Source organism: Homo sapiens, chromosome 1 (assembly GCF_000001405.40).
Source record: "Homo sapiens chromosome 1, GRCh38.p14 Primary Assembly".
Lineage (NCBI taxonomy): Eukaryota > Metazoa > Chordata > Mammalia > Primates > Hominidae > Homo > Homo sapiens.
The window spans coordinates 234,865,128-234,886,028 of record NC_000001.11 but is presented as its reverse complement, the minus strand read 5'-3'; the positions used below and the strand labels follow the sequence as shown (position 1 = coordinate 234,886,028).

General features: G+C 49.1%; 1 long non-coding RNA gene across 2 annotated transcripts in view, besides 4 other annotated features; it reads left to right on the top strand.

The window, feature by feature from the left end:
- Positions 3,362 to 3,431: an enhancer, noted in NCBI's record as "active region_2772". NCBI's record gives its function as "activates an Ori minimal core promoter by ATAC-STARR-seq in GM12878 lymphoblastoid cells {active_cell/tissue: GM12878}" and the evidence as "EXISTENCE:reporter gene assay evidence [ECO:0000049][PMID:35858748]".
- Positions 3,815 to 3,951: a silencer, noted in NCBI's record as "fragment chr1:235017825-235017961 (GRCh37/hg19 assembly coordinates)". NCBI's record gives its function as "represses an EF-1alpha promoter that drives an FKBP-Casp9 reporter gene in an ReSE screen in HepG2 liver carcinoma cells {active_cell/tissue: HepG2}" and the evidence as "EXISTENCE:reporter gene assay evidence [ECO:0000049][PMID:32094911]".
- LOC107985365 (uncharacterized) overlaps positions 9,203 to 20,901 on the top strand; it is a 63,991-nt gene continuing 52,292 nt past the window's right edge. Inside the window, exons 1-2 of one of the 2 annotated variants that reach the window (XR_001738533.2) lie at positions 9,203 to 11,253; positions 14,739 to 15,427. This is a non-coding gene — a long non-coding RNA (uncharacterized LOC107985365). The remainder of the gene's footprint in view (positions 11,254 to 14,738; positions 15,428 to 20,901) is intronic. The other variant, XR_001738534.2, reaches the window with a different exon arrangement.
- Positions 9,437 to 9,581: an enhancer, noted in NCBI's record as "145 bp enhancer 94/95 fragment used in the MPRA reporter construct; PK_construct_3202". NCBI's record gives its function as "activates an SV40 promoter by MPRA in K562 cells {active_cell/tissue: K562}" and the evidence as "EXISTENCE:reporter gene assay evidence [ECO:0000049][PMID:23512712]".
- Positions 9,501 to 9,518: a transcriptional cis regulatory region, noted in NCBI's record as "GATA motif; enhancer activity is reduced when this motif is scrambled". NCBI's record gives its function as "necessary for full MPRA enhancer 94/95 activity {active_cell/tissue: K562}" and the evidence as "EXISTENCE:site-directed mutagenesis evidence [ECO:0005528][PMID:23512712]".

Below are 20,901 nucleotides of genomic sequence, written 5' to 3'. Positions count from 1 at the left end.
GATGCTGAGTCTGGGTGGGCTGGGATGTCCAGCCTCCCTCTGTTTCTTGGCAGGGCGTGGCCTGGTTTTCTGGTCTCCTTTTGCTTTTGACCTATGCGACCCTCTTGGAATAGCTGCCACCCCACCAGACTGGCATGTGCATCTGGAGTCCCTCCCCCAGAGCCCGGGCCTCAGAGGGCGTGTACAGTTTGGGGCAGAGAATAGCCAGCTGGTTGTCAGGGGATTGCCTGTAAGAAGGGCTGTTGGTCTCTGAAACATGAAAGGGGAGCTGAGGACACCAGCTCAGTCGAGGGATAGTGAAATACAATCCCAGGGCTGTTGCCTGGCTCACTTGCCTATTTTGAGGGCTGGCCCAACCCTGGGCCTGCGTGTCTGTCCTCGTGGGGCCTGCTCGGTAGTCTTCAGTCCTTCCCATGATCACCCTTGGGCCAGGGGATCCCCGGAAGGCTGATCCAGTTACTCAGATAGTTTTGTGGTGCACCTGTGCATTCCTTTCTACATTTGAGAGATGTTTATTAAATAATTGCTCTGTGCTAGGCTTTTGGGAAACAAGTTAAAAAATAAGTGTGGTTCTGGCCCTCGGACATCTCACCATCTCAAAGACATGGCAGGCAAGGAGAGAGGTATGTCAGCAATGAAGAACTACAAAAATCTCAGGAGCAGACAGTCATAGACATTTGTTTTGTGGATCTGCAGGTTCAGGCTGTAGGTCTTCAGGGGTTGGCGGGGCTGATTTTACTCCATGGTGGTTCACCCTGGGTCCCAGGCAGGAGACTCTTCTTTTGATGATGGCAGAGATACAAAAGAGCAGTGGAAACATGCAAGGCTTGTCAGGCCTATGCTTGCAGCAGACACACTGGCCCTCTAACCACATACCTGTGCCCACTGCAAATTATACAACCAACCTGCAGCCAAGGGTTAGGGAAGAGCTCTCCTCTGTTGCAGGGCTGAGGGTGCAGGAGGGAAGAGCCAGGCTGATAATCCACCACTTGGGCAGTCTCTGCAGGCATGGGTGCCCCTGGGGGCCAGGTACAGACTGCAGTGGGGCATGAAGGAGCCTGGGACATGTGGCCTGGGAAGCTGGAGGCTAGTGCCTTGGGGCACTAGGACAGGGCCATGGGGAGGCCACAGGTCAGCAAAGGCATGAATGACCTTGGCTTCTTGGGCTGGGGAAACCAGAACCTCCAGGCAGGGTCTGTGTAAGTGCTGGTCCCTGGTTGCCTCAGGACCATGGCTGGCTGTATGGAAGGAGGGGAAGGCCCTGACTTGTCCTGCTCCTGCTCCTGCCCAGTCCAGCTTGCTCCCTCAGTCTTGGACAAAGCCCAGGTATGGCAGGACTCAGAGGTCCATGCGTCCAGAGAGGCATTCTTCTTTGATTTCTTTTGCCAGCATCTGCCTTTCTGAGTATGGCACCAGAGGCTCCCCTCTCCTCTGCATGTGCCAAGTGGAGGTGAGTATGAGGTCTTCCCTCTGGGGCCCTGGAGCCACATATCCAGCATTCTCCAGATCACAGCAGTTTCTCTGCCAGTCCCTTCATTCAGGCCACCAGCACCTGTGCCCTCCTGATGGGTCTCTCTGATTCTACCCTTGCACCTCCTGCCCAAGTGACTTCCTAAAATATAACTCAGAATGTGTCACTTTCTGCTGAGCCCCATCTAGGGCTTCCTATTGCACTGAGGGACCAAAAAAAAAAAAAAATCACACTCCTTAGGATGGTGTCCAAGGCTCTGCACCTTCAGCCCTTGCTCTCCTCCCCAGCGCAGTTTGTGCCGCTGGCGTTTGCATGCCACGCTCCTGCTACCTCACCTTTCTTCAATCCCTCCATGTGCCAAGCCCTTGCCACCCTTTCTCGGGGCCTTCACACCTGACCCCTCTGCCAGGAGGGCTTCTCCTCCCACCTGCTCCGGGTCCCCTTCACCTGCCACTGTCACATCTTGCTTGATGCAGCTGAAATATTACTCCTCTGGAGAAAAGTCCACAGCCCTCCAGCCTTCCATGAACCATGTCTATAACCACATTTCTTTGTGTTTATAATTCCTGAACTTTAAAGCACTCATTCCCTTGTTAATATATGTGTATGTGTGTGTGTGTTGGGGGGGTTTTCTGGTTTGTGCCTTTCTCCTCCTATGAAGGATAGGAGGCATGTGGGTCCTCCTCACCACTGTGCTCTCAGAACCTAGTACAGAGCACATACTAGGTGCTCAGTAAATACTGGATGGAGGAATGAATGACAGAGTGATGCCTTAACATTGTATGGGGTGGAAGCTATGACTTTTGATTCTGTTCACATTTAACTGGGGCAACCCTTGAGGATGATCCTTTGCACTCTCTCTGAAATACTTAATAATCAATCATATGTACCTGGTCAGAAAGAACATAAGAATTCCAAATTACTCCTGTCCACTTGACTTTGTCCAGTAAGGAATTTAAAGGCAAACAGATCCTGAAGTTGCATTAGAACCCACAAAGATGACATAGGGAGTAAGAAAAGTTATTTTAACCTCCGGATGTTCTTCCCCACATGATCTAAGCACCTCTGGTGCCCTCCTGTATGTTCTGTCTTTCCTCACTGTTCTGCTCAGCACTTAGACCCCAGGCACAATGACCCTTGAGCTCCCAAAAAACATGGCTGCCTCCCTGTGATGTCCACAGCCTGCTGTGGAAAAAACTTAGTAGGAACAACTGTGCAAAGCCCATGGAGAGAGCCAGGACCACAAAGCCTTCTCTACAAGAGAATTGGTAAGTCCAGCCTCATGGCTGCTCTGAAGGGCAGCAGTAAGTCCTCTAGATAATCTGACCCTTGCACAGCCCTCAGCCCTGGGTTTTGCTAGTGGTGAGATGTGCGTGGGACAGGCACCCATTGGTGGCGGTTGTCCCAGACAGGCCCTTGGTAAATGATGTTGGGCAGAACTGAGAGTTCCTGCAGCGGTTCCTGAGGAAGAGCACCCAGGGTGCCACCGCTGCTAGGCCCTGGTGATTGATGTCCCCTGGCTGTCATCTCATCAGACCCCTGCCTGCCATGCACCTCTGTTCCTAGTTTGAGAATGTAGGCCAGACAGGCCTGAGGACAGCGTTCAGATGGGCAGAGCTGAGAGGGGCTGCACGGTCAGCCTCTGAACCTCTGTCAGATCAAGACCTGCCTGCACCTGCGGATGGGGAGGGAGGATGCAGAACAACTAGTGCTCAAGGAAAGGCTAAAGGATTTCTTGGTGGGCTTAGTCTCACAGGAAATGATAACCTCTACTGAATGAGTGCTGTTCGAGGTTTACCTTGTGTATGCATGGAGCAGAAGGAGGCAGAGTGACTTTGAGGAGCTCAGGGCCTGAGGTGGGGAGAGAGAGACTTGGGACAGACAGTGAAGTGACCACGAGGAAGGCACTGCCTCTGAGGTTTGAGGAGGTCTGTGCTGAGGGCTGAAGGCTAAGAAATGCGACAGGGGTGTCAGAAAAGGCTTCCTAAAGGAGTTGGACTTTGATCAGGGTTTTGAAGGATGCATAGAAGTTTTCCAGGCAGAAAGATGGGGAGTGCATCTCAGACAGAAGAACAACATGAAGCAAATGAACAAAATTGTGACAAAACATGATCAAGAACAACAGGAGCCAAGAGAGACCCCGTGATTTGAAATGCATGAAGTGTGTGGTTTGGTTACATAGTAGAGATCAGGTCTCTGTCTAGACTGATGATACAAAAAGTGATTATGGAACTTTCACTATTAGGTGTTACTCTCATTTTACAGATGAGAAGGACTAAGGGCATTTCAGTGTCTTTCCTGTTGTCACACAATTAGTTAAGTGGTGGATGCAGATTTCAAGCCTTGAGTCTGTGGTCTTTCCACTGAGCTGCGCGGCTTCCCTGGAAGAAACGCTGAGGGTTGACGGCTTGACAAGGCAAGATTTAGTGTAGTGAAATGCAAAATGTGTTTCCTGAGTGGCTCTAGGGTTACCCTGCCTGAGGGTGGGAGGCTGGCAGATTAGTGAGATTTTCATACGGTTAGCACTGGAAAGCCGTTCCACATGATGTCATAGGGTATGTCAATTAACAAGCATGTTCCACTCAATAACTCTGGGAAACATTCAATTAGACCTTATAGATGATCCCTTCATGCAGGACTTCTCAGAGTCTGCGCCTGGCTGATATGCGCTGTGAGTTTCTAAAAGAATGCCTGGTAGCCCTGTCCCTACTAAAAATACAAAAATTAGCCAGGCATGGTGGTGTACGCCTGTAATCCCAGCTACTCAGGAGGCTGAGGCAGGAGAATTGCTTGAACCTGGGAGGCGGAGGTGTCAGTGAGCTGAGATCGCACCACTGCACTCCAGCCTGGGTGACAGAGCGAGACTCCGTCTCAAAAAAAAAAAAAAAAAAAAAGAATTCAAAGTACAGTGGTGGTTTTCAGTGTGTGGGCCAGAAGTTTCAAGGGTCCTTGAGACCCTTTCAGGAGGGTCAGTTAAGTCGACACTACTTTCAGAACAAGACTAAGGCATCATTTTACCCTTACTTTGTCACAAGCATACACTGGAATTTTCTAGAGCCTACATGATAGTGCAACAGGTTGAATTCAGAAGCAGAAGTGAAAATCCAGCTCTTAAGCGGAACACTGAGGAGTTGGACCAAAACGTGGGACAGTGCCACTCTTTTCACTGGTATTTTTGTTTTGGGAAATAGAGTCATTTTTCACAAAAATATGGTGTTAGCAGGGAGTAAATTTATTATTATTTTTAAGTGAACGATTGCATATTTTAAAAAATTTCCAGTTTAATTTTGATGATAGTAAATATTGATAGGCATAACCCACATAAACAAAAGCTCTTTGAAGATTTTGATTTTTTTTTTTGAGACATGGTCTTGCTCTGCTGCCCAGGCTGAAGTGCAGTGGCATAATCATGGCTCACTGCAGTCTTGACTTCCTAGACTCAAATGATCCTCCTGCCTCAGCCTCCTGAGTAGCTGGGACTATAGGTGCATAACACCACACCCGGCTAATTTATACATTTTTCTGTAGAGATGGGGTCTCGCTAAGTTGCCCAGGCTGGTCTCAAACTCCTGGACTCAAGCAGTCCTCCCGCCTTGACCTCCCAGGGTGCTGGGACTACAGGCAGGAGTCACTACATCTGGCCTACTCTTGATAATTTTTAAGGGTGCAAAGGGTTCCTGAAACCAACAAGTCTGGGGACCACTGGGTATGTAGTATTTCTTAAACTTATTTAATCCAGAACTTCCCTATCCACCCATTTTAGGTCAGATAGCAACTATGCATCTCTTGGCATAGTGTTCCATATGGGAAGCGTTGGAATAGATGATCTTTGGTGGAGTCTGTCAACCCTGAGTTTAAAATGTGGCTCTGTCATTTAGTAGCTGTGTGACTTTGGGCACATTACTTAACCTTCTGAGTCACAGTTTCCTCATCGGTGTGATGGTGATAATAGTATAGTATTAATGTTACCTACACTCTAGGTTTGTTAAGAAGATCACGTGTGATGATGAATGAAAGGCACTCAATACAAACTAGCACCCAATAAATACTACTACTAATAATATTTGAAACAATAATATCATGATATATGACTCTAGGTACATCTTCATTAAAGACAATAACAATAATAAAAGTCTGTGAGAAATAGAGGAAGGATTGACTCTGAATGGGAGTCAGGAAGACCATGGTAGTTAGAAGAGATGGCTTCTCTGGGGTCTGACCTTGATTCTCTCACAAAAGACCTGGAGGTGGCTTTCCCACAGCTGAACTAGTGGTTGGCAATGAGGGGGCCTCATGTCAGTCTGTGGCTTAGGCAGGATCTAAAATGAGATTTTTTTTTTTTTTTTTTTTTGAGACAGAGTCTCGCTCTGTCTCCCAGGCTGGAGTGCAGTAGCCCGATCTCGGCTCACTGCAACCTCCACCTCCAAGGTTCAAGCGATTCTCCTTCCTCAGGCTCCCAAGTAGCTGGGAGTACAGGCATGTGCCACCATGCCTGGATGATTTTTTTGTATTTTCAGTGGAGACGAGGTTTTACCATGTTGGCCAGGCTGGTCTTGAACTGGTGACCTTAAGTGATCCATCTGCCTTGGCCTCCCAAAGTGCTGAGATTATAGGCATGAGCCACCGCATCAGGCTGAGAAGCTTTTGTATTCTTGTGTGATCAGCCCCCAGTGCTGGTGGATACTGAAAGTATTTGTAGGCCCGGAGAGTATGGGACAGGCCCAGGCCTCCCTCAATAGCACTCTGTCAGATGCATCAAAAGGCAAGAAAACATTTTGTTTTTGTGGGCCACCTTTGTCCTGGACTGAGCAAATGTGTTGCCTCTCCCCTCACTGGCTGCTTCTGGATAACCACTTCTTTGGCCAATGGAGTGAAACCAAGAGACATGTTTGAGTGTGGTGTATTTATAGCCGGGAGATAGGAAAGCATCATGAGTGAAACCAGAGGAGGGAAGCCAGGCAAGGGCCTCGGAGGAGTGGAGAGTTTGTGTGAGTGTGTGAGTGTGCGTGTCTGTGAAGAATATTTTAAAAATTGTGTATTTTTATAGATTTAGGGGGTACAGGTGCAGTTTGGTTACATGAACATATTGGGAAGTCTGGGAGTCTGGGTGTTTGGTGTGCCTGCACCTGAAGAGTGAACATTGTACCCAGCAGGAGTTTTCTCAGCCCTCACTGCCCCTCCTTCCACTTTTTGAAGTCTCATTATCCACTCTACATGACCCTCACTACTCAGCATTTAGCTCCCACTTCTGAGTGAGAACATGCCCTATTTCACTTTCTGTTTCGGATACAATTTGATCTAAGCCTTAATTATTTCTAGAAGGAAGCCTAATTCATTAGGTCAAGTTAAGGAGCAGAATTCCTTTTTTTTTTTTTTGAGACAGAATCTCGCTGTGTCACGTAGGCTGGAGTGCAGTGGTGCGATCTCAGCTCACTGCAACCTCTGCCTCCCAGGTTCAAGTGATTCTCCTGCCTCAGTCTCCCGAGTAGCTGGGATTACAGGAAGCTGCCACCATACCTGGCTAATTTTTGTATTTTTAGTAGAGATGGGCTTTCACTACGTAGGCCAGGCTGGTCTTGAACTCCTGACCTCAAGTGATCCGCCTGCCTCGGCCTCCCAAAGTGCTGGGATTACAGGCGTGAGCCACCGCGCCCGGCTGAGGAGCAGAATTTCTTTCCTTCTTTAGTTTCCTCATCCGTAAAATGGAAAAAGGGCTCCTGTCCTTGACGTGCCTCTAAGACACACCGTCATGGGAGTAGCATTATTATAAACATTTGCACACATGCAGTGTTCTGGCAGGCAGTGTTCCCTCTCCAATCCATAAGAAAAACCATGCAACTGCTGGCTGAGGAGGAAAAAGAAATGTGAAAACATCAGCAGCTCACCTATCTGTGTCATCCCAAGCCTTCGTTCAAGTTTCCCTTGCCATGGTGCCATCATAGCCGAGAACAATCAGCCTGGGATAAGGAGCTTCGGTCTGTTGGGTGCAGAATGTCCTTGGCTGTCATATGCCTCTCCTCAGCCGGGGGCTGCTCCGTGGCCTTGGGAGCCACTGCCAGGGCAGCTCTGGGTGCAGGGGGCCGTGGCGCCTCCTCATGCTGACGTTGGCAGAGGTAAGCCTTAGGCTAAAGAACGAAACAGAAGAGAAGCGGACCAAAGAAGGTGGTCAGCCAGGGCTGCAAATGGAGCTGCGTCCTCATGGAGGAAGGCCGGTGCCCTCTGATCTTTCTTCTGTTACCTTGAAGTTACATTCTCTTTTGTAACAGTGATGTAGAGGATAATGACCACGTTACATGATGTCCAAAGGGGCTGACCCACCCTGAAACGACTCCGTGCAGAGGTGACCCAGCTTGCCCAGAGGCGGTGTCTGTAGAGGTGTCACTTGGCCTAGAGGTGCAGTGACCCCGTGTTTTCTTGTGCCAGCTGGGACACTTGTTTGAGAATGAAAGGAGGCACTATTCACCGGAATAAACTGGGTAAAGGGGACATATGGCCACCTACCTAGAGGTCACGAGAGGGTGATAGAGGACTTACCACTGGGTGGTTTCCTATGGAAAGGTGGCCACGCCCATCCACGAGGGTTTAGCGCACAGATGGAAATAGCCCCAACATCTCTGGCTGAGGAGGAGTTGGCCAGTGGGGGTGCCGGGAAAAGGACAGCAGGCACTTACTCAGTTGGAGGGGCCCATCCTGCAGACCTGGCTTAGAGACTCAAACTGGAGTCTCCATCCTACTCCCATCTTTCCAGAGTTTCAGGCTTTTCAAAACATTTTCCCAAGATGCACAATTCCAGCAGAAAATCCCACCTAACCATCCAAGGGTGGCTGGGCCACGCTATCATTTGAGAGGCAAGGACGTTGAGGAGCAGATGTGTCCAAAGCCATCAGCCTTCAAGGAGTGAATTCATTTCCAGTGTCTGGCTCAAGGAAGATTCTATCCATTGTGCCACCCACCAGAATAGTGGCTGAGGTCTGAGTGTCTTAGAATTCATTCCTACCTAACCGGCAACCCTCAAGAAAGTGCAGAAAATTAGGAAGGAAGAGCCCCACTGGGCCATGGAACGGAGAAGCCCGCGGAGGATAGAGCAGCGGTACTGGGGGCTGAGTGGATGTGGGGCTCAGACTTTGCCTGGACCTCTTGGAGTCCTGATGGTTTTAGAATACCGGCTGAGACTGGAGCCTGGGGCTGGACACAGGAAGGAGAATAACTTACTGCTCCTGTGATTTCTTGGGACTGCATTGGGTCCGAGCCGAAAGTGGCCTTGCTGGTCATCCCCTCCAACTCCCTTATCAAAAAGATGAGGGGCCAGGCACGGTGGCTTACGCCTGTAATCCCAGCACTTTGGGAGGCTGAGGCGGGTGGATCACCTGAGGTCAGGAGTTCAAGACCAGCCTGGTCAACATGGGAAAACCCCGTCTCTACTAAAAATACAAAATTAGCTGGGCATGGTGGCGGCCTGTAATCCCACCATACGGGGCATGGTGGCGCCTGTAACCCCAGCTACTTGGGAGGTTGAGAGAGGAGAATCGCTTGAACCTGGGAGGCAGAGGCTGCAGTGAGCTGGGGTCATACCACTGCACTCCAGCCTGGGTGACAGAGTGAGACTCCACCTCAAAGAAAAAAAAAAAAAAAAGATGAGGAACTTTGTATTGATGTGGGAGGAGGAGGTGGTGGCATGTGCCTATACCTTGCAGACCATCTCGAGTTTATCTCATTTAATCTGCAAAATACTCTGAGATAGGAAATATAATCTGAGATGATCCCTGTTGCCCAAACTCCCAGGTTAGTGAATGGGGAGGAAGGATTCGAATTCATTTCTCTGACTCTGAAGCTCCTGCTTTTTGTACCATATGTCTCTGTCTCTCCCTAAGGCATGGAGAGATTACAACCCTTGTCCAAAGTCACTTCATCTGGAAGAGGTCAGGCTAAACTGAAGGTACACTGACCCTTGTCTAAGTCTTTCTGGATCAACTTTCATTGTAAATATTTTCTCCCTGATTGTGCAACGCTCAGCAGTTACTTACCAGGGCTGCAAAGTGAAGATAAGCTTGCAAGAGAGGAACCACCCACCTCCCCCGAGTGAACCATAGGCAATTTCTGAATGACTCTCAGGCTGTCAAAGGCAATTGCCACAAGAGGTCAACGCCAAGGCTGCTCTGCAGATATGACCAGGGCTCATTTTTTCCATGATCTTAGAGAAACTGGATAAGCCCGGGGCAAATCGGGCCCAGAGATGAGATGGTAGGACATTATGGCAGGCCCTGAAACCCCAGCGTGCCCCAGCAGAGGCCTGTGGTGGCCTCTGGGGAGGTGGGCGGTGGTGGAGGTCCGTGTGAGAGGGCAGCAGCAGCAGCAGATTAGGCCCTGTGGAAGCCCACTTCCTTCCAGAGACAGTGCCAGGGGAGGAAGGGTCCAGACTGAGGGCAGGACGGGCCAGGGGGTGTGGCAGGCGGATGCCCCCCTGGGCAGGTGACCTCATCCACCCCTCCCGTGTCGCCTCCTCTGATCTGCTCCCTCTGGAGATGGGGAAATCCAGAGTAGGGGCAACAGGAAGTATATTCCCAAGAAGACTGTAGACCCCCGCACAGGGAAACGATGGAGCTCAGGAGGGGCGCTGATCTCGGGAGCCTGGATCCACCAGTTATGCAAGTGATGAAGTGAGTACGCACGGTCCTCGAGGCCAGGGCCGGCGCAGTAAGAACGAACAGGTTGTTCTGGAAAATTGTCTGGCAGCCTCCCCGCGGCCTGCCTGCAGGAACTGGCATCTGTGGAGTACTTTGCCTTGCTTGTTGATCCACAGCACTTACCACATCCTGGAGAAACAGGTCAATACAGGTGGCCCTCAGGAGCCATGGGCCCCATGTTTGGAACTCTGACCCACACAGGGGCAACCTGAACTCCTGAGCCATAGCCAACCCCTCCCACCCGGGGCCTCTGATGAGCTGGGCCCCCCTGCAAATAACGTTCCTGTCTGTTTCCATCTGTGAGCTCCTGCTCGCGATCTAAGGCCCAGCTGAAAGTGCTTCTTCCTTCCTGGGCCACCTTCCTTTCATTCTCAGCTTTTCTAAATTATGAACATTTCAAACATTCCCAAAGGAGAGAGAGTGCACGATGCACCTGAACCATATGTCGCCCAGAATCCATGGCTATCAAGATCTTACCACAGTTGCTTCATGGATCCCTGCCTCTACTTATTTCTTTCTGAGTTGCTTTAATGTTTCACGCCACTTTATATCTATGTACTAGATTTTGCATCTCTAAAATAGAGGGGCATTTTTATACGTAATGATGTTATGGTCGTCTGGCCTAAAAATTGCCAACACTTCCTTGCTATCTATCATTCAATACCCAGTCCATATTGAAATTTCCCTTCTGAAAATTAATTTTTGGAATCAAGTCTACCATCGGATTTGGTTGAATTTCTGAAGGAAGGGGGTCCATTGCTCTGCCGAATGTCCCCACATGGCTTCTGTCTCCATCCACCACGTATGTCCAGCTTGCGGCCCTGACTCTAGGTGCCCTCAATTATGCCCACTGTGGAAACGGCCTTTCTGCCACATCTGAAGCTTGAGCCTTGGAGGCAGGCATGACGTCTCATCTCTGTGTTCTTTGTGGTTCCCAAGGCAATGCGTGGTGTATCCGAAGTGCTCCACTGAGTCTCGAAAACGTCCCTGCATTGGAGGGATCATGGAGTGAATTTTGTCTTTGCCACTCCACTTACAACTTCAAGTCTGGAGATTTTGAAACACCCCATGACTGGGAGTGACCGCTGGCTCGGAGAGGTTTGTACACAGAGCAGAGGGTAGACTAGATGACCCTTAAGATCCACCATGACTCTGCAATTCAGGCATGCGGAACCTGGCTGATGACAGACATCGACTTTGTCCTCCAACCTTTTTCCGGGACTTATCAATATTCTCGTGGTTAAATTCCACAAGCTGGCATGATCTGAGGAGGGAAATTAGGACATGGTTTCTTGCCATTACTTTTTACAGCTTGGCAAGGGGCAGGAGGCTGCCATCCCCTTCTGTGGTTGCTGTGTCATTCTGTGGGGTTGCTGGAGCCGGGGCCTGAGGTGTCAGGGCGGTGGAAGCTCCTGACCCTGCCCTGCTTTCTGACCCACCTCTCATCTCACAACCTCTGACCTTGTTTATTTCTAGAGGCATAATCTGTGTGCCATATTGTGAGTAAATGAGAAAATGTGGCTTGGATTATGGAATTCAGCTTTATGATTCATTTGTTCAGCAAGCTCTTTTTGAGAATCTATCTTGTGCCAGGCCCTAGATTCTGGGGGTTTAAAAATTGCCAAGACCCAGGCGTGGTGGCTCACGCCGCTAATCCCAGCATTTTGGGAGGCCGAGGTGGGCGAATCACAAGGTCAGGAGTTCGAGACCAGCCTGGCCAACATGGTGAAAACCCGTCTTTACTAAAAATACAAAAAAAATTAGCTAGGCATGGTGGTGGGTGCCTGTAATCCCAGCTACTCGGGAGGCTGAGGCAGGAGAATCGCTTGAACCCAGGAGGCGCAGGTTGCAGTGAGGCGAGATCTCACCACTGCACTCTAGCCTGGATGACAGTGCAAGACTCCATCTGAAAAAAAAAAAAAAAAAAACAACAAAACAAGAACGGCCAAGACCCACCTTGCTAGCAAGAAGTTCACTGTCTAATGACAGAGACAGACCAAAGTGGCATAAGAGAGCAAGCCTGAATGCTATGAGAGAGACCCATTTCAGACTGCTGGGGTATAGGAGGGCTTCCTGGAGGAGGCAGCTTCTAAGTTGAGTCTTAAAGGTATGCATAGAAGTTTGCTAGAAGGAGGGGAAGCGGAAGAGGAAAGAACATTGCAGATATATTCCAAGGAGAAGGAATAGCACGTGGGAAGGGAGACTGCATTTACCCTGTGCTTTCAGAAACACATATAATGTAATTCACACCTCACAAATGATTTTTATAAAAAAATAGGCCTCAGGGAGGTTAAACGACTTGTCCAAGGGGAGGAAGAAGAATTAGAATGAAGGCTATAGACTCTCTGGGCAGAAGTTCAGCACCCTGACCTTATGCCATGCTGTGTAACATCCACCCTCCATTAAGTAACCGTAAAACCCTCATTTGTGTCAGCCACGGAAGGGGCTGGGCCAGCCTGGAGGGTTCAGGGTAGATGGGGTTGCTGCATTCAGCAGTTTAGGCCCAGATGGGCAGAAACACCTGGGGCCCCTTCACGGCATTGCACGGTCACCTGGGTGCTGGGGACCAAGGACAACAAATCCCGTCTCAGAGAACAGGAGAGTTTCTCTCCTGATGCAAATATATGTTGTTTGATATTGGCTTACTGACAAGGTGGAAATACCACACTATTGACCAAATAGGCTTATTTGGTAGTTTATATATCATATAAAAACCATTATAGCTTATTTTATATATATTGTTATTACTTATTACATATATATAGTTATATGTATTTAGTTATTAGTAAATATAGTTAAATTCAGCCACAATCTTGAAGAACAAGATTTTTCTTCTCTTCTGCATGTTCGAAAAAAATGTTTAAAAAGAAAAAAGATTAGAAGTGTTCCTTCTAGAGCAATTCCATGGGCTCTGTTAAAACCCTTTGACACTGGGCCAGGCACGGTGGTGGCTTATGCCTGTAATCCCAGCACTTTGGGAGGCCGAGGCAGGTGGATCACCTGAGGTCAGGAGTTCAAGACCAGCCTGGTCAACATGGTGACAACCTGTCTCTACTAAAAATACAAAAAAAATTCGCCAGGTGTGGTGGTGCACGCCTGTAATCCCAGCTACTCAGGAGGCTGAGGCAAGAGAATCACCTGAACCTGGGAGACAGAGGTTGCAGTGAGCTGACATCGTGCCACTGCACTCCAGCCTGGGTGACAGAATGAGACCCTGTCTCAATAAATAAATAAATAAATAAATAAATAAATAAATAAATAAAACCCCTTGACACTGAAGCATTTGACACTAAAGTGACCACCATAGCATCAGGAACTTCTCTTTGAAGACTTTCTTAATTAGAGCAAATGAGGAAATTAAGAATGCCCAGTACCTGCTGCATGTCAGACGGTTTTAGACACTTCTACCCACTCTTCTGTTTAATTCTCATGGGTCCTACCAAATAGATCCATAATTAGCCCAGATTTTACATGTGAGGGAACCGATCTTCTGAGAGGTTCGGTCTTCTCAGTGTCACAGAATAAGGAGCAACACTAGAATTCTGACCCCAAAGCCTGTTCTTCCCTCTGCACCACGATAATATTTCACACGAGAGGTGGTGCCTAAGACCGAGCTCTCAGGCCAGACTGTCTGGGTTTGAATCCGGGCTTCAGTCGTGACTTACTGTGGCAAGTTACATTTTAAAATTTTATTATTTAAGTGACCTATAATCATTGTACATATTCATGGAGTACAGAGTGATGTTTTGACTCATATAATGCACAGTGATCAGATTAGGGTAATAAGCATATCTGTCATCTCAAACAGTTACCATTTCTTTGTATTGGGAATATTTGATTCATCGTTTTAGCTACTGGAGACTATAGAACATATTACTGTGGCCTACAGTCATCCTGCAGTGGGATAGAACACTGGAACTTACTCCTCCTCTCTAGCTGTGGTTTTGTATTCTTTAACAATCTCTCCCTAGCCTCCCCTTCCCCCAACCCTTCCCAGTCTTTGTGACTTGGCCTTTTGCTGTGGTTTTCCTGGTTGCAAATGGGGTGATGACGGCACCTTTCCCATAGGATTACTGTGAGGATTTGAGGATTCAATCCCCACAGAATGCCGGAAACAGTGCTTGGCACCACTAAGCACCCTGTGAATGTGAACTGCTATTATAGAGATTTTTGCTTGACATCAAGGTTACCTTTTGTCTTGGCTGGTCTCGTGTGGGGGGAGGACAGCACGTGGGCACTGGCGGGCAGTGGGAGGCATGGTGCCCACGGGGGGATGCACAGGCCCCTGGGCCCAGGAAGAAGTGGAGGCCATGGCTTGGAAAGGTCAGCAGGGCTGGGGAGAAGCAGGATGGGTCCTTCGGGCCACAGCAGAGGAGGCTGATGCTGGGGCAGCTGGGGTTTCCAGCTCCAGTGGGTGAGCATGGGGCCCCGGCTGAGGCAGGCAGAGGGCACGGCACTCAGGGGCAAGGCCAGGCCCGCATCCAGCTCTGCCATTTGCTAGATGTGCACTTAGGGCAATTTCCTTTAGCCTGGTGGAGTCTCAGTGTTCCCGTCTATTAATTGGGAATAATTCTGCTTTCCAGGGTGAAGTACAGACATGAAAGAAGCAATGCCTGGGAAGGTACTCAAGAAAAAGCATGATGTGGTGGGGAAGGGCTGCAGCCCAGCCCTGTGCCTGCATCCCACGCATTTCTACTTGATTCCTTAGCTCCCTAAACCTTGCTTGTCTCATCTGTAAGGTGGAGATAAAAATAACAGTCTTCTTTTATTATGTGAGTTGCAAATGACAGAGTGCATGTGAAGGCTCCTGGTGCCAAAAATGTTAGCAGAATTGAGTGGAAGCAGAGTGAACACTCACTGAGGGCCGGGAGACTTAGGAGGGAGCTGGACCCCCCGGGATGCTTTGCTGGATGACCACAGCTTGGGGAGGGGGCTACTGCCTTTGGAGAATGGCAACACTATCATGCAGCTCAGAAGGCTGGAGTCTAATACCCTGCTCAGCAACCAGGCATAGTCCATTCCATCACAGAGCCTGGGTTCACCTTGAGGACAGTGAGAACTCAGCCCTGGCCATGTGGAAGTCAAAGCGTGCAGCACCTACGTACATGGACCTCACCTGTCATCCAAGTCTCCAAACCACACTGCAATACAAACATCGCCAAAGTAGCAGGCTTCTCTCCTCTGGGTGACATCCACAGGGCAGATCTGAGCAACACTTAGTGTCTCCTGGGACCTTCCCAGCCTCGGACAGAATGGTTGTTAGAGGAACAAGGTAATGGTGATATACGCGGGACCTGCCAGTTTGTTAGGCCGGTGGCTTTAATGGCTATTTTGGAGGTGACATTCCATTAGGGGTGATTGGACTTAATTTTAATGGCAGGATGACTTAATGTGTCATCATTCTCTCCTAGGCCTGAAGGTCAATGGGAAAAGTTTCTTTCCTCCAGGAATTACACTACAAAATTTCCATAACACAGCGCCAATTTTGGTCATGCTAAAATATTGAGCTGTAAGAAGTACCCTTCTGCACAAACAAGCTGGATTTTTGGGCCTCTTGGTCCAGTCACCCTGGAGTCAGATAACTTAGGGTGAAATGTTGACTTCGTCACTCCCTGGCTGTGTGGCCTTAGACAACATACTTAACCTCTCTGTGCCTCAGTTTCCTCATCTACAGAGCTGGGTAATCATAGTATGCGCTTCCTAGGGTTGTTGTGAGGACTAATTTGGTGTGTGTAAAACCTGGAAGGGCTGCTAAGGGCTGCTATTATTAGCTCTCTAGGGAAAGGACCAGCATAAGCAGTAATTTGCCAAACACATTCAAAGGCACTTTTGAACAGATGGTCAGGCTAGGGTGAGGGGTTGAGGGAGGAGCAGTGGGAGGTGCGTGTGGAACGGAGGGTTGGGGTGGATGGCAGAGGCATAGGAATGCCAGGCCCGTGAGTTTAAAAGGCATCTTGAATGACATCCCACCACCCAGAGCACTTCTGCGCGGTTCACAAGCGAGAAAGACAATGAGAAAGTAGTATTTTTGGAGGATCTTTGCTGACAGCAGGAATGAAAAGAAATAAATATATATGAGAGCCATTATGAAGGGAACCCTGCAGGACCTCGCGGCTAATTGGATGTGGGGCTGAGGGAGCAGGAGGAGTCTAGGGTGACTTTGAGGTGTGGAGTGAGGTGACTCACAGAAGATAGTGTCGTCGCTGGCACTAGAAAGCCACCAGAGGAGCTGGTTTGGAGGGAGGAGGATGGATTCATTGGTTTTAGGCATGTTGCACGGGATACTGTAGCCAGGAGCCAGGGTCTGGCCCTCGGGAACTGGGTCAGGGTTGGGATGGAGACTTGGCCATCATCTGCAGAGATAAGCAGGGTTTCTCTGTCTTTGAGAGTGAGTAGAGTGAGGGGGAAGCATAGAAAATTGAGGACAGATACAGGGAACACTGGCAGGGGCTAAAACTGACAAAGGAAGAGGAGATCGCGAAGAAGGCAAAGAGAAGGCTGGAAGAGAGCAGTGCCTGGAGGAAGCAGGAACAGGTGTCTGTGGGCATGACTCAGGGGAGGAAAGTTGTTAGATGCTGCAGAGGCCAAGAGGGGCCACGCAGGTAGGAGCCGCTGGGATCAGCCCTGGGTAGCCTGTGCAGAGGCAGCCTGGGTGGACCATGGAGATGTGAATACCAGCTGGAAGGCAAGTCTGAGGTGGGTGCTGGATGAATCAGTGGTGGAACTTAGTTTTAAGAATTTCCACAAAGTGCCAGAAGTGGGAAGATGGTGTCTTCTTTTTATCCTTTTCTTTTCTTTCTTTCTTTTCTTTCTTTCCTTCCTTCCTTTCCTTCCTTCCTTCCTTGTCTGCCTTCCTTCTGTCTCTTTCTCTCTCTTTCTTCCTTTCCTTTCCTCCTTTCCTTTCCTTTCCTTTCCTCATTGCATTTAGCAGAGACTCAGTGTCTTCTTCCTCTTCTTCTTCCTCTTCCTCTTCTTCTTCTTTTGCAAACTCTGCCTCCTGGGTTCAAGTGGTTCTCCTGCTTCAGCCTCCCAAGTAGCTGGGATTACAGGTGCTCACCACCATGCCTGGCTAATTTTTGTATTTTTAGTAGAGACGAGGTTTCACCATGTTGACCAGGCCGGGCTCAAACTCTTGACCTCAGGTGATCTGCCTGCCTCGGCCTCCCAAAGTATTGGGATTACAGGCATGAGCCACTGCCTCTGACCAGATAGTGTCTTCTTGAATGGGGAAAATACCAGCACTTCTGGCAGTTAAGAAGTCCAGTTCTTCAACTCACTAAGCTGCCTTCTGGAGCCCGAACCAGGAATGCAGTGATAAAGAGATGCAGGCTGGAAAAGTTTGAACAACCTGGCCCCAGATTCCCCATCTGTGAAGGGGCACTGAGGCTAGGTCGTACTTGGGCAATTTTTGTGCTGCCCTTAGCTCATGAGCCCCTTCACCAAAGCTAGGTGACCTCTGAGTCCCTTCATATTAGACCAGAGATCCCAATCGTGGGGCATTGCAGCCCCATCATGTGTGGGTTGTGGGCCTCCCATGCTCCTAAAAGCCCAGTGCAATCAAAATAGCTAATGATTATTAAAAACTTTTTGGATTGCAGATGACTGACAGGTATATTCCCACATAAGCTAGTTATTATTATCTTGTTTATACAGTCAAGACATTTGAAGTCCAGAAATGTGACCGATTCACACAGCTAGAATGGAACTTCAACCCAGGCCCCTTACACTCCAAGTTCAAGGCTTTTTCCATCGTGATATGCTATTTTAAAATCCGAGTGGATTAAAATTAAATTTTTTTTTTTTTTTTTTTAGACGGAGTCTCGCTCTGTCGCCCAGGCTGGAGTGCGGTGGTGCGATCTCGGCTTACTGCAAGCTCCACCTCCCAGGTTCATGCCATTCTCCTGCCTCAGCCTCCTGAGTAGCTGGGACAACAGGCTAAAATTAAAATTTTAACTTGACTAGTGTGGAGAATTTTGTGTAACTCTTTGAGCTGTTTAGCAAAATCTACATAGCCCACCTTGCTGGTTGTGGGGACACTGGCATCTCTTGCATGGAAACCTGGCTGGTTTTAACCTTTTCTGCTATTGCAGATGGGGAAAGTGAAGTGGCTCCTATTGACTTTCTGCTGCCGCTTCCAGGTCTGACTTGCACACAGGGCCATGATGCCTGGTGCTTCCTCGGCTCTTCCAGTTGTTTATGTTCAGCCGAGGGCAGTGGATCCCAAAAATAGCAGGCTCTGGCTCGAAGTTCTACCTACATAACTTCTGGGAGCCAAGCCCTCTCTCTCCCTGGCAGGAATGGGTCCTGGGAACATGCAGAGATTCTCCCTGGTGGCATATGGTTTTCCATGGTGGCCGTGACTCAGGAACTCACTGCCATGCTGCCTGACTCTCTACTCTGCCTTTGGGCTCCTGTCTTGCTGGTGTAGGCTGACTTTGATGTGACCTCGAGATTAGCCACCGCCACACTGAGGTCTCTCTTCCTGTCTTCGTGTTGCTGACCTCATCTCGTCCAGCCTCCAACCCCATCTGATGAAGGAAGGGGGCAAGTATGACAGCTGTGCCCCAAGTATAATAGCTCACAACCCGCTACCAAATACAATGTCTTTCCCCACTCAATTCTTATTCTTCCTTCAGGGTTACAATTCCAAATTTCACTCATGCTATTTTTTTTTTTTTTTTTTTTGTAAGACGGAGTCTCACTCTGTCACCCAGGCTGGAGTGCAGTGGAGCGATCTTGGCTCACTAGAACATCAGCCTACTGGGTTCAAGCAATTCTCCTGTCTCAGCCTCCCAAGTAGCTGGGACTACAGGCGTCTGCCACCACACCCTGCTAATTTTTGTATTTTTAGTAGAGACAGGGTTTCACCATGTTGGCCAGGCTGGTCTCGAACTCCTGACCTCAGGTGATCCACCCACCTCGGCCTCCCAAAGTGTTGGGATTACAGGCGTGAGCCACCCCGCCCAGCCTCTTGCTATTTCTTTCAATGCTCCCTGTGCCTTGACAGAGATCCAGGGATTGTGTTGAAGACAATATGTGTAAAAGTAACCAGCATTGCACCCTAAATTGTCCTTCCCCTCTGACAATTGGCCACCATCTCTGTATTAAGCACAAGCACCTCAACAGGCCCTCCGCTGAGGATGCAGGTGAGGACGGGCTGGATGTGCCTTTTATCCCCTCTTTGTGGTGTTACTTGCTCTATTGCAGAATCGAGCATTGGCCCCATTATTCCTGAATGAGTCAGAAGTCTCCGCCCCTCTGCTGAACAGGCCGATGTGTCCCTTGACACACACGTGATAATGGTGCAGTTAAAAAAACAAACCCATAGAGATATGGAAGTGCAGATGTGTAGACGCCCCATGGTTTTTGGTGACACAAACGTCAGCTGTAGCTCAGGGACGTCCTCCTGATAGAACTCGCCATTGTGGCAGGCAACCTCTGAGATGAACTCAGATAGTCTTGCCTGCTGACACCCATGCTCTTGTGTAGTCTCTTCCCACGCTGAATAGGGCTGACTGTGTGACCAATAGGATATTCTAGAGATGACCGACTATGACCTCTGAGGCTGGGTTATAGAAGAAGTGGTGCTTCTGGCTGGGTGAGGTGACTCACACCTTATTCCAGCACTTTGGGAGGCCGAGGCGTGTGGAACACTTGAGGTTAGCAGTTTGAGACCAGCCTGGCCAACATGGTGAAACCCTGTCTCTACTAAAACTATGAAAATTAGCCAGGCGTGGTGGTGAGTGCCTATAAGTCCGGCTACTCGGGAGGGTGAGGCAGGAGAATTGCTTGAACCTGGATGACAGAGGTTGCAGTGAGGCAAGATCATGCCACTTCACTCCAGCCTGGGCAAAAGAGCGAAACTCCATCTCAAAAAAAGAAAAAAATAATAATAAGAAGAAGAAACGGTGCTTCCCTCCTTGTTCTCTTGGAACACTTACTCTGGGGGATGCTAGCGCCACCTCATGAGGACATTGAAGAAACCATACAAACAGGCCCATGCAGCGAGGGCTAATGGTCCCCAACAGTCAGCATTGACTTGTAGGCTGTGTGACCATGGGGACATCTCAGAAGCAGATCTTCCAACCCCAGTCATGCCTTCAGGTGACAGTAGCCTTGGCTGACATCCGAACTATAGCCTGTGCCAGAACCATCCAGTGAAGTCACTCCCAGATTCCTGACCCACAAAGACTATGACATAAGAAATGCTCACATTTTGAGTGCTAAGTTTTGGGCTAATTTGTTACACAGCCACTGATAACTGATACACCCATGGCAAGGACACAGGGACTTCTGACTCAGTCTGGATTCTCAGTCTGACTTGCCTGTGTTTCCAGCTAATGTTGAGTCCTATCCACCGAGCCTCCCAGTACTGCTTCTGGCGACATGCAGCTGCACTGAGGCATTTGAGACCTGGTGTTTCTACTATCTGGATCACTGAAGGAACCTTGGATGCTTTTTTCTAAGCCTGGTAAAGCCATGCAGCAGATCAGCAGGAGGGCACACATTAGCCCACGGGCTGCCTGAGCCCTGGCCTGCAGCTACTCACCTCCTCCTCCTCCTGGGGCTTCACTCCTGTGCTCATTCCATCAGCTATGAGAGTTCAGCTTGACACACAGAGCCTGGTCTCACAGTCACTTATGAGGGGCCATGAGTTCCAGGGTTTCAAACCAGAGAAGATGGGGCTGATATATTTTGTCCATCAGAAACAGCAGAGTCCCACCATGCTAGAAAGACTGTTAGGAG